Here is a 12,559-nt window from a genome sequence, read left to right as displayed (position 1 = left end):
TTTCTATTCTTTTGCTGAGGAGTGTTTTACTGGCCAAATATGTGGTCAAATTTAGAATAAATACAATGTGGTGCTGAGAGAATGTATATTCTGTTGATTTGGGGTGTAGAGTTCTGTAGATGTCTATTAGGTCCACTTGGTCCAGAGCTGAGTTCAAGTCCTGGATATCCTTGTTAACCTTCTGTCTCATTTATCTGTTTAATAGTGACAGTGGGGTGTTAAAATCTCCCATTATTATTGTGTGGGAGTCTAAGTCTCTTTGTTTGTCTCTAAGGACTTGCTTTATAAATCTGGGTGTTCCCGTATTGGGTGCATATATATTTAGGATAGTTAGCTCTTCTTGTTGAATTGATCCTTTTACCATTATGTAGTAGCCTTCTTTGTCCCTTTTGATCTTTGTTGGTTTAAAGTCTGTTTTATCAAAGACTAGGATTGCAACCCCTGCTTTCATTTTTGCTTTCCATTTTCTTGGTAGATCTTCCTCCATCCCTTTATTTTGAGCCTATGTGTGTCTTTGCATGTGAGATGGGTCCCCTGAATACAGCACACAGATGGGTCTTGACTCTTTATCCAGTTTGCCAGTCTATGTCTTTTAATTGGGACATTTAGCCAATTTACATTTAAGGTTAATATTGTTATGTTTGAATTTGATCCTGTCATTATGATGTTAGCTAGTTATTTTGCCTGTTAATTGATGCAGTTTCTTCATAGCACTGATGGTCTTTACCATTTGGCATATTTTTGCCATAGCTGGTACTGGTAGTTCCTTTCCATGTTTGGTGCTTCCTTCAGGAGCTCTTGTAAAGCAGGCCTGGTAGTGACAAAATCTCTCAGCATTTGCTTGTCTGTAAAGGATTTTATTTCTGCTTCACTTATGAAACTTAGTTTGGCTGGATATGAGATTCTGGGTTGAAAATTGTTTAAGAATGTTGAATATTGGCCCGCACTCTCTTCTGGCTTGTAGGGTTTCTGCTGAGAGATCTGTTGTTAGTCTGATGGGCTTCCCTTTGTGGGTAACCAGATCTTTCTCTCTGGCTGCCCTTAATATTTTTTTCCTTCATTTTAACCTTGGTGAATCTGACAATTATGTGTCTTGGGGTTGCTCTTCTCGAGGAGTGTCTTTGTGGCGTTCTCTGTATTTCCTGAATTTGAATGTTGGCCTGCTTTTGTAGGTTGGGGGAGTTCTCCTGGATAATATCCTGAAGAGTGTTTCCTAACTTGGTTCCATTCTCCCCATCACTTTCAGGTACACCAATCAAACGTAGATTTGGTCTTTTCACATAGTCCCATATTTCTTGGAGGTTTTGTTCGTTTCCTTTCACTCTTCTTTCTCTAATCTTGTCTTCTCACTTTATTTCATTAGTTTGATCTTCAGTCACTGATATCCTTTCTTCCACTTGATCAAATCAGTTATTGAAGCTTGTGCATAGGTCACGAAGTTCTTGTGCCATGGTTTTCAGCTCCATCAGGTCATTTAAGGTCTTCTCTACACTGTTTATCCTAGTTAGCCGTTTGTCTAATCTTTTTTCAAGGTTTTTAGCTTCCTTGCGATAGGTTAGAACATGCTCCTTTAGCTTGGAGAAGTTTGTTATTACCGACCCTCTGAAGCCTACTTCTGTCAACTCGTCAAACTCATTCTCCATCCAGTTTTGTTCCTTGCTGGTGAGGAGTTGCAATCCTTGGGAGGAGAAGAGGTGCTGTGTTTTTTGGAATCTTCAGCTTTTCTGCTCTGGTTTCTCCCCATTTTGTGGTTTTATCTATCTTTGGTCTTTGATGTGTGTGACCTACAGATGGGGTTTTGGTGTGGATGTCCTTTTTGTTGATGTTGATTCTATTCCTTTCTGTTGGTTAGTTTTCCTTCTAACAGTCAGACCCCTCAGCTGCTGGTCTGTTGGAGTTTGCTAGAGGTCCAGTCCAGACCCTGTTTGCCTGGGTATCACCAGCAGAGGCTGCAGAACAGCAAATATTGCTGCCTGATCCTTCCTCTGGAAGCTTCCTCCCAGAGAGGCATCTACCCGTTTGACATGTCTGCTGGCCCCTACTGGGAGGTGTTTCCCAGTCCCACTACACGAGGGTCAGGGACCCACTTGAGGAGGCAGTCTGTTCTTGGAGCTTGAATGCTGTGCTGAGAGAACCACTGCTTTCTTTAGAGCTGTCAGACAGGGACGTTTAAAAGTCTGCAGAAGCTGTCTGCTGCCTTTTGTTCTACTATGCCCTGCCCCAAGAGGTATAATCTATAGAGGCCGTAGGCCTTGCTGAGCTGTGGTGGGCTCCGCCCATTTCATGCTTCCAGGCCTCTTTGTTTATACTGTGAGCTGCTCATGCCTCAGCAATGGTGGATGCTCCATCCCCCATCCAGCTGCAGCATCACAGGTCAATCTCACACTGCTGGGCTAGCAGTGAGTAAGGCTCCGTGGGCGTGGGACCTGCCGAGCCAGGCACAGGAGGGTATCTCCTGGTCTGTCGGTTGCTAAGACTGGGAATAGCGCAGTATTTGGTCAAGAGTGTACCTTTTCTCCAGATACATTCTGTCACAGCTTCCCTTGGCTAGGAAAGGGAAATCCCCCAACCACTTGTGCTTCCTGGGTGAGGCAACGCCCTGCCTTGCTTCGGCTCACCCTCCATGCGCTATACCCACTGTCCAACCAGTTCCAGTGAGATGAACAAGGTACCTCAGTTGGAAATGCAGAACTCACCCATCTTCTGTATAAATCTCGATGGGAGCTGCAGACTGGAGCTCTTCCTATTCGTCCATCTTGGAAGCGACGCCAGTGTTCACTCTTTTTCAGGCCTCGTGTGGTCTTCCTTGTGTGGAGTACAGCCAGTCAGGCAGCCTAGGCTGTGTGGGAAGCTTATCAAGGATCTGTCTGTTACATTTCTGTCCCTTCCTGTAGTTGGCTGCTTTCTCCAACTGGGACCATAACCTAAGACTAGGAGAGATGCTAGCATTTCCCATTTACTGCTGCTATCAAATCGAACTGGAGTCTGCTCGCCTGGTGCAGTGACACCAGATGTCTATACCAAGTGTGCTGCAGGAGAAACGAAGTTGCTTATTTTTCAGGCCACCAAGCAAGGAGAAACAGGCAGCTAACATTGAAATCCTGACCTCCCTGATGGCTTACAGGTAATGGTTTTTAAAGACAGAAGTAAATTTTGGAAAAGCAGAAGTTACAGGCAAAATTGTAAATCAATACATAGAGATTACAAATTGATTTTGGCCTAAGAGGGCAGGATATTCTTTAAGTGGGGGCTTACTGAACATAGGCACATTCAAAGATTTTCTGATTTGCACTTGGTTAAGGAAGAGAAGCTTCCTTAATTTGGGCCCGCAGGCAATAATGTTAGCTTTGGCTGATGGGTATGACTTTCTCCAGGCCCCTCAGGAAAATATTTAAAATAAAGAATGGTGGTCAGAGGTCAGTCTCCAGTTCCCCCTTCTCTGAGGCCTATGACGAGTCTGTTGAGTTGGAATCCAGGTTCCTGAAAACAGCTTGGAGATATGAGTTATTATCTTTAGTTTCTATAAGAGAACTAAATATCCGGTGATTCCAGTTTCCTTGGCTGTTGTTTGAGGCTATTATCTTCTTGATTAGCAAGTGAGAATTTACTTCTCGGGGATAGCTTTGTCTCTAGAACTTCCCTTGCAGGAACTCAAGGTTTTCCTTTATTTCCAGGCTTGCAGGGGGCCCCCGCAGGCCCTAAGAGGAGGTCCGTGCTCTGTCTCACTGCCTTGAGTAGATTTTCTACTTCCTTTTCAAATCCAGCCACTTCCTGAACCTCTAAACCCCACCTGCTGACAGCAGTCTGCTGGTTCTCTTGGCTAACTCAGCCCTGGTAATACCTTACTGGTCATGGAACTGTGGTGTGGAAGGGACAGGAACTGCCCCAGGTAAGAATGCCATACACTGTCAGTGTAACTTTTCTCTTACAGCCTAAGGGGCGATAGTTGGCAACAGGGTAATTTAACCATTGGATCCATAAACACAGAGCCTGGGACTTGGACTTTGCAAGAGCCTAATAAAATGTTGGGATCCTGGAAGGAAATTACTAATGAAAAATCTGAAACTATAAAATTCATATTAATAAATGTTTAAGCTTTTACAAAATGAAACATGTTTCCCAATCAACTGCAACTCATTTCAACTGATATGATTTTATGTGCATCTCCTATAAAGTGGGATGTAGGATATTTGATACAATGTGGGTAAGGTAAGGCTTCCAAAAAACTTAAGAGTGCATGGAGCCGGTAGAGGTCTTGGAAAAGCCTTTGTTGGTAGCTAGAAGGTTTCCCTCTTACCCCATGAGCAGTCTTGAAATGGATTCGTGTTGCCTCTTCTACTTGCAAAAAATGTTGGCCCTGCTGGTTTCAAGCCACATCTCTCCTGGACCAGCCTATGCTATGATCAAGACTGAGGGTGAAAGGTGTTCCTTAGTCTCAAGGTGAAAACCACTTGAAAGAACAGCATTTTCAAGGAAGGAAGGAATCCAGCATTTCACAGAGTCAGTGGCTGGTTTGAAAGAAGAGGAAAAATATATGCTTAATCTTCTGATCTGTCAAATGAAAAGCATGTTCTCAAGTGAATAGATGCAATACACAGGGGCTTAATTACTCATCTTGGGGAGGGAAAATAAAACACGAAAATAATATGTTTATTCTGTGTGGGGTTGTATAATATATGCATGACAGAATCATGAAAATTTGAAGTGGGTAATGCGTAGGGTTAGCCTAGCCATTCCCTGGAGCCAGACTGGGGTCACTGTTGCTTTGTATTCCAGACTCCTCCGTCTCGTCTAATTGGCAGCATGGGTTAGGGTTCTTTTGCCATTGATTTTTTAAGTTGAAGATTCTCCATGGAAGTGTATAGAGTGTCATTTAAAGCCTATTGGGGGTGCATGCATTGTCTTCTGTTTCCTCTGTAAATAAGGGGTCCTTCTAGCCTCTGGAGGGCCATGTAGCTTATGGGACTAAGTGACGGAAAAAGCGAAACTCCCTTGCTTTCCCCCAAAAATCTGTTTGCCCAAATTCTTAGAGCAGTTGAGCTGATGGTGGGGGTAGGGAGGGGACTGATGAACTCCGAGCCTCTTAGCCTGGTTTGTAGAAGAGCTGCCACTGTAATAATCTTAGAATTGTACAGGGCTTCTAAAAGTTGCTAGGTGTTTTATTATTCACTCTTGCCTGTGCAATTCCTGACAACTCCAGGAGGATATTAAGTCAGGTATGGGCCCCCTTCTACAGATACAGAAACAGATTCAGAGAGAGTAGACAACTGGTTCAAAGTCACGTAACTGATGGTTGGGGAGGGCAGGACCCAAACCCTGCCATTTGGTCCCACATGATTCCCAGTGATTCCTTCTATATTATTGGGACAGGATTTTTGGCCCACACCTCTTCCTTTGGAATGGTAGGTAGCTGGATTCAAAACAATCAGGAGTATTCCTGATCTGTGTGTATGCCTCCTATGGTAACATAAGAGAAAGCCCAAGTGGCTACTTCAGGATGGTCCTTCTGGGAGAGTGGGATACAGCTGGGGGGCATCACAAAGTCACAGGGTTTCACCTACAACTGTTTCCATTTAGAAACATGAATTTTGACTTTTAGGCATAGTGTCTGGCGGGGGAAAGCCCTGGATGTGGAATAAGGTGAATTGGGTTCAAGCCAGCTTAGTGTACCTAGATAACATTAAGGAAGTTATTTAATGCATGGTCTGCAAATTCTTGTTCCCAAAAAGATTTAATAATTTTCAAAAATGACTATGGTGCAAGATAAACTATTACCATGCAAGACAAAACAGTAAAAATAAGTTTAAAAATTGAAGGAAACATTAGTTAGGACACTTGGAGGCAACCTTAAGAAAGAATCATGAAAGGGAAAAGGTTCAAGGACATTTGGATAAAGGATAAAGTGTGGATGTCAGTTACACATACTGCTTGGTAATAAAGGAACCAGAGTATTTAATAGTCTGTATTTTAGGATCATCAGTGGTAGTCCCAATTTCTTCAGCATCAAAAGAGTCACATCAAATATTTATTTCTTTTTTTTTTTTTTTTTTTTTCCTGAGACAGTCTCCCTCTGTTGCCCAGGCAGGAGTGCGATGGTACAATTTCGGCTCATTGCAACCTCTGCCTCCCAGGTTCAAGCGATTCTCCTACCTCAGCCTCCTAAGTAGCTGGGATTACAGGCATGCACCACCACGCCCAGCTAATTTTTGTAGTTTTAGTAGAGACAGGGTCTCACCATGTTGACCAAGCTGGTCTGGAACTCCTGACCTCAAATGATCCACCTGCCTTGGCTTCACAAAGTATTGGGATTACAGGCGTGAGCCACTGCACCCAGCCAAATTTTTATTTTGAAAGCAAAACGGAGCTTAGAGTGGGGTTCCTGAAATACACTGCATGAAGTCCTATCCAGTTGCTGAAGAAGGGTCCCATGCTGGGCTGTCAGCTTCTGAGCTGACAATGCAAAAGGGAACCACAGTCTAAATCAGGCACCAGTAAACCTTTTCTTTAATAGACCAGATCGTAGATTTATTTATTTATTTATTTATTTATTTATTTATTTTTTGTAGAGACAGAGTCTTGCTCTGTCACCCAGGCTAGAGTGCTGGAGTGCAGTGGTGCGATCTCAGCTCACTGCAACCTCCGCCTCCAGAGTTCAAGCAATTCTCCTGCCTCAGCCTCTCGAGTAGCTGGGATTACAGGTGCCCGCCACCACACCCGGCTAATTTCTTTTGTATTTTTAGTAGAGATGGGGTTTCATTATGTTGCCCAGGCTTGTCTCGAACTCCTGAGCTCAGGCAGTCCACCCACCTCGGCCTCCCAAAGTGCTAGGATTATAGGCGTGAGCCACTGCACTCGGTCCATAGATAATTTAGGCTTTGCAGGCCACATCCATCTCCACTGCATTTTCTATTTTGCTTGTTTTGCTTTATTTTGTTCTTCACAGCTCTTTAAAATTCTTAGCTTGTGGACCATACAAAAACAAGTTATGGGCCAGATTTGACCATAGCTTACTGACCTGTGTTGGATAGATGTTCACTTTCAATAAGTTAAAAACAAGTTGCTTTAGGGAGACACAAAAGCCGTAGATGCTAAAATCATAGAAAAATGTGTTCAGCGAGTCTTCATTGAGTGGACACTGTACAGCAATGTTCATGTTTTAATGGTCATCTGGGGGAAGGATTGATATCCTCTGTTGAAAGCTGATGAACCAGACAAGGATGCTATTGATTCCAAAAATGGATCAGCTCCACTTGAGGTGAGAGGCAAGTCATTTTACCTCTCTGAGCCACTGTTTTCTCCTCTAAGATGGGGATAAAAATAAGTGTCCTGCTCACCTTCCAGGGTAATTGCAGGGATCAAATGAAATTCTATATGTGAAATTGCCTTTAAACGATTCTAACAACCTTTAAAGTGTTAGTTACTATTTATCAGCTCAGACATAGTCAGCTGCAGGGGAGCTGGTCTGTGCCAACCACACTCCTGAGAGACCACAGATGTCCCTGTTCTGAAGAAGATTCCAATCTAGGAAGAGAAGGGAGGCAAAAGAGGCGAGCACATGTATGCATGTGTATGCATCAGCCCTGAATTCCAGGAGCTCATGGTGGGTAAGGCTGCCGTGGCACCAAAGTCACAAAATTAAATGCAATATATACTAAAGTGACCACAGAGAGCCACCCAGCAACTTGGCTGGCTGAGAGTTATTTGCTCAAGGCCTCGAGGTTACTGTTGTAATAATGTGTGAAGACCTTCCTTTAAGTACTTACTTTTTGCCAGATGTTGTGGGTGGCCCCTTTATACACATTATCTCATTAAATCTTCACAACTATCCAAGGAAGTAGGTCTTAGTATCTTGATTTTTCTGATGAGGAGACTGAGGCTAGAGTTATCAGGGAAATATCACCTGGCTAGTCGGTGGAAGAATTGGGATGCTGTGAGTGGTCAGAAGTAGGTGAAACTAGCCTGGTGGGCTTCCTGGATGAGGCAGGCATGGTTTTAGTGAAAGAGAGGGCTGTGGGATCTAGCAAGCAAGGTGAGTTCAGCTTCCTCTTATTAGGCACACTCCCAAATTCCCTAGGTCCTTTTTGCCAACGGTCTTGGCTTTTCTCCTCTATTCACAAGGGTGAGCTAGGTAGACAGGCAGTTTGCAGGGGCCAAATTTATTATTATTCTCTGGGACTGGGCTTAATTTCCCAGAAACAACAGGAGGCCTAGAATCAGGGGCTGTCGGTGGGGCCTGTCTCTGCCCCTGATTATTGTGAGACCTTGAGAAAGTCACTTTCCTTGCCTCGGCTCAGGTTTTGCCTCTGCAGATGGAGAAAGTCGCTGCTCTTTTAGGACTCTGGCACTTGTAAAATATACTATACTGCAATGTCTTCAAAGGCAGGAGCTGCATCTAATGGTAAGGGAGTAATGTTTTCCAAGAATGTCGGAACACCAGGCATCGGATCCTGGGCCCACCGGGTAATGAGGCATCCCGTAAGTGAATTTTCCAAATATCTGAGGCTTGCCTTTTGAAAACCTCACATTTTATTTCACAGAACTAAAAACAGAGATCTTATTAACATGTTGCACTTTTTCTTTCTTATCTTATTAAACAGAGCATACCAGTTATCATCTTTTCATTTCTAATCCAGCTCATTTTTGTCTTGTAAAATTCTCGGTACATTTATTGAGCTTATATAAAGCTGCTTTCCTTTGTACTACATGGCCCCTTGATATTTCTCCAACTATCTGACACCAACTGGGTGTTCAGGAATTCAGTTCATTTTTGACACTAACTCCTGGAGTTAATGCAGACCCCACAGGTTAAGGGCTTAGTTCCGGAAGACGCCCCCATGTCAGATGTCAGCTGAAAATGAGGTGTCCAGGCTACCACACCTCTGCCGAGCCACTGCACTTTTGAGACTTCTCAGGCCCCCCTTCTCAAGTTTGATAACTTGCTAGAACAATTCAGAAAACTCCAGAAATGTATTTTACTTACTATTGCTAGTTTCTTATAAAGGCAATGACTCAGGGGCAGCCAAATGGAAGAGATGCATGGGGGCTGGGGCGGCAGGGTGCAGAGCTTCCACGCCCTCTCTGAAGAGTGATATGACCTCAGTATGGGTGATACTTCTTCAGCTTGGCATATGAACACCAAACAGCCCTGTAGTTTATTCCTTTTCCTGTAGGGTAATGTCTCCCTAAGCTTAATAAAGCATACTTCTTTTCATCTTATTTTACTTTTTTTTTTTTTTTTCCGGTAGACCTCTCATGATTTTAAAGTTGTTCCCTGAACTCCCACCCTCAACAGCTGCTGGTTGTGCCGAGCTAAACATGTTACCCTATGGGAAGAGTGTGTCTTCCTCTGTAACAGTGCCTACCGCTGGAGGTACTGAATTTTGTGGGTTTGACTCTTTCTTGCCTTGTTAATTGCTAATTGATTTCATTGTCCTTAGCTTCGGTAACCTCTAGGTCATCGTCAAGCCCAAGAACACAACACATATCTCATTTCCAAACTCAATTCTTCCCTGAATGACATGGGGGGACTTTGTAAACAGGTTGAGTTGTGAGTATCATTTATATTCATTAGCACTAATTAGTATGTACATTCAGCCAGAGGCCGAAACACATCTTTTCTAAATGGAAAGGGTGTGTAAATAAATGGCTACTTCTGCACATTACATTAAATATGGTTTCTCTTTTTCTTCCCTTTCTTTCCTAGTCTGCTATGATGATTCCATGTCTCCCCCACTTCCTCATCTCCACTCCCAATTAGAAAATTTGCTCACTATTTCCCCTATCTGGTTTTTAAATTTTTTTTTTCTTAATAGGAGGGGAAGAAAGGGAAGAACATAATCATTAATTTCTCTGGTGTCTGGTCTGTTAACCTTTTCTCTTTCTTTTGGTCTCATTATTTTATTCTACCAATACTTCTTATGTCATCAGAATTATCTTGGAGGATACCTGATGAATCCCACTTCTTTGATCGATGGTTGCAGAGTTGGTGAGAGTGAGCCTGTCTGGTCACTGCCTGAGATGGTGCATAAGCCATGGCTCTTCAACACACACTTGGGTGGCTGGGCCACCATGCCCATGAGGGTCAGTGGCCCTTCCCACGTGACAATTGGCAGGTGGATATAGGCCTCTTCTACTTCGCAAAGATGTGGTTGGCAAGGGAACAGCATGCCAGAGGGAGAGGAGAGGAGTCGGCTCTTCAGTACACCCCTTTCAGAAGGTTGCCAGCCCTGATTTCATCCAGTGGTTTATTTACCACTGAAGGAGTGAAGGATGTGCCATCCCAAATATGCCAGATTAGTATATTGATTATTTCAAGTTGAAAACATTGGAGAAATTGTTTCAGAGAGGGTGAGCTGAGCTGTCTCTTCCTGCATGCAGCAAGGGACAAAGATTCCTCTAGGAGGGGAGTCCTCACTATACCATGGTGAGAAAATATTCCTATTACCCACAGACTGGTGATTGGAGGCTGCAATGGACCCTGAATTAACATACTTCCTGAAGCAACGCTATCTTCCACCTATTTCACCCCTGCTATATCTCCTAGTGATTCCCCTAGAAAATTTGCTATCCTTAGCCAGATTTTCTTTTCTTTTTTTTTTTTTTTTTGCCTTGCCATTTTTTCCTCAAATTTATTGCTCTTTGTCTCCATCTTGCTTTGGTCACTTCTTCAGACTTTACTCTCTTATGCAGATCCCCATGGACATGCAACATGAATGAAATGTGTGTACTTCTCTCTTGTTCATTCATCTTCCTAGTGTCAGTATTCAGATCCAGCTGAATATCCCACCAAGAGCTGAAAGGAGGATTGGAGGTGATCTCTGGCTTCCCTACATCGTGCCTGTCATCTTTCCAGAATGCTGTGCTCTCAAAGGGTTACATCCACATCACAGGGGCTGGTCCTCAGCTTTGGAGTTGGTCACTTATTTCTACTTGCAATTCTGCTCAGCTTCGATTTTAGAGAACAAAAGTCTGATGTGCTGCTTTCAAAATGTAGATATAATGATGTTAAATATAAAATGTTGCAAATAAGTTGTCAAAGTTTATTACACCTCTCTCTCTTCCCTGAGCATAAATGACATTGACTAGTCATAGCAGCAAATTCTTATTTTGGAGTGTGCTTTCAGTTTCTTGGTCTAATTATAGTATCAGAATAAAAAGTTCCATTTCCCCCCACAGTGGAACCAGTTGTCAGAACTTTGTTTCTTAAACTGTGGAGTTTTAAGTTTTGATGATAGCTACATTAGGGGTAGTTCTGGCATTTAAAATGAGACCCAAACAGAAAATGGAAGGTTGTCGGTTAATTCCCTTGGAGTAAATTAAAAGATGTATCTGCAGTTAAAATAGTAAAATCAATAGAACAAAAAATACATCTAAAGGTCATTTAAAGTAAAGGCGATTTTTTTAAAGCTATTAAAAAGTACTTAATCGTGTCTTTTAAAGTTTATCTATATTTATAAAGAACGATTTTTCAATTAACATACATTGGTTTAATTCGTTGAACCTGTTGGCAGTGGTTAGGGATGATTTATCCTCCTACTTTCTTCCAATGCATATCTTTGCACATGCAAGCATTAGTTGAGGAGTTTATGATTTGGAGAAAATAGATAAGACAACCTGGGCAGATTGCCAAGCACAGGCTATATGGAATGTTCTGGGAGCCAAGATTGAAGTAGAGCCTGGATAAGGAATGATACCACAGTAGGAGTGACCCACACTCTGGGCCAGCAGTTTAAAGATGTGGGTGGGTAGTTTGAGGTTTTGGAGCAGGTCATGACCATGCAGCAATCTAGAAACCCAGACTCTGGTTCTGGCTTCATTATTGACGAGCTGTGGAATCTTGAGCTAGAACATCTACTTCTCTAGGGTGAGTTTTTCGTGTGCACCATGGGAATCACAAAGCCTGTGCTATGGAAATTGTGAAAAGGCAATGAGACCCAGAAATAGAATTCCCATTAGAACCGACAGTGCCTACTTATGAGAGTACACCATCTTAGCTTAGGCTTCTCACTGAATCAGTTTTTGTAGTGATTTTTTAGATGTTAAAATGTGAAATAAGAAACTAAAAGACTACGGGTAACACTCTATTATACTAATATTCAGATTTAAGTCTTATAATAACGAGGGTAAATCATATGACAGTAGCAGAGATGGGGTTTGTTGAAACCTCGGGTAAAATTTATTGTCGTGTATCTACGCTATTGAGGAAACAAAATCAAGCAAACAAACTGAGGGAAAAACACCCAAAATCTTTTATTGTTTCTGCTTACCAATTTATTTGCTCTCAAAAAGAGTCAGAAGGAGAAACTTCAGCTAACTGCAAGGTAGATTTATATTTGTTTAAATACTATATGTTGCACCTTGATTTTTAAACTGTTAACCAGAGAGTCGAAGAGTTTTACAAAGCGCACAGAAAAGCTGGTAGTTGCATTCTACCTTTTGTTTTTGTGGTTTCTAAGTTCTTGCTGGTGTGACTGGAAGCTCTGATTTTTAAGAACTTCATGGTTCCTTCTACCTCCAGCAACCATTTTTATTTTCCTCCCTTTGGCCCAATTGCATTGCA

General features: G+C 42.5%; 1 long non-coding RNA gene across 2 annotated transcripts in view; it reads right to left on the bottom strand.

The window, feature by feature from the left end:
• LOC105370839 (uncharacterized) overlaps positions 1-12,559 on the bottom strand; it is an 89,243-nt gene that overhangs the window by 16,201 nt on the left and 60,483 nt on the right. Inside the window, exon 1 of one of the 2 annotated variants that reach the window (XR_932311.2) lies at positions 4,298-4,445. The exons of the other annotated variant lie outside the window; for it this stretch is intronic. This is a non-coding gene — a long non-coding RNA (uncharacterized LOC105370839). Of the gene's footprint in view, positions 1-4,297; positions 4,446-12,559 lie in introns of those variants that run through there. 2 annotated transcript variants of the gene reach the window in all.

The sequence above is a fragment of the Homo sapiens genome, chromosome 15, assembly GCF_000001405.40.
Source record: "Homo sapiens chromosome 15, GRCh38.p14 Primary Assembly".
In the NCBI taxonomy this organism is placed as follows: Eukaryota; Metazoa; Chordata; class Mammalia; order Primates; family Hominidae; genus Homo; species Homo sapiens.
Note: the sequence above shows the minus strand (reverse complement) of the source record. Positions and strands in the feature narration are given on the sequence as shown.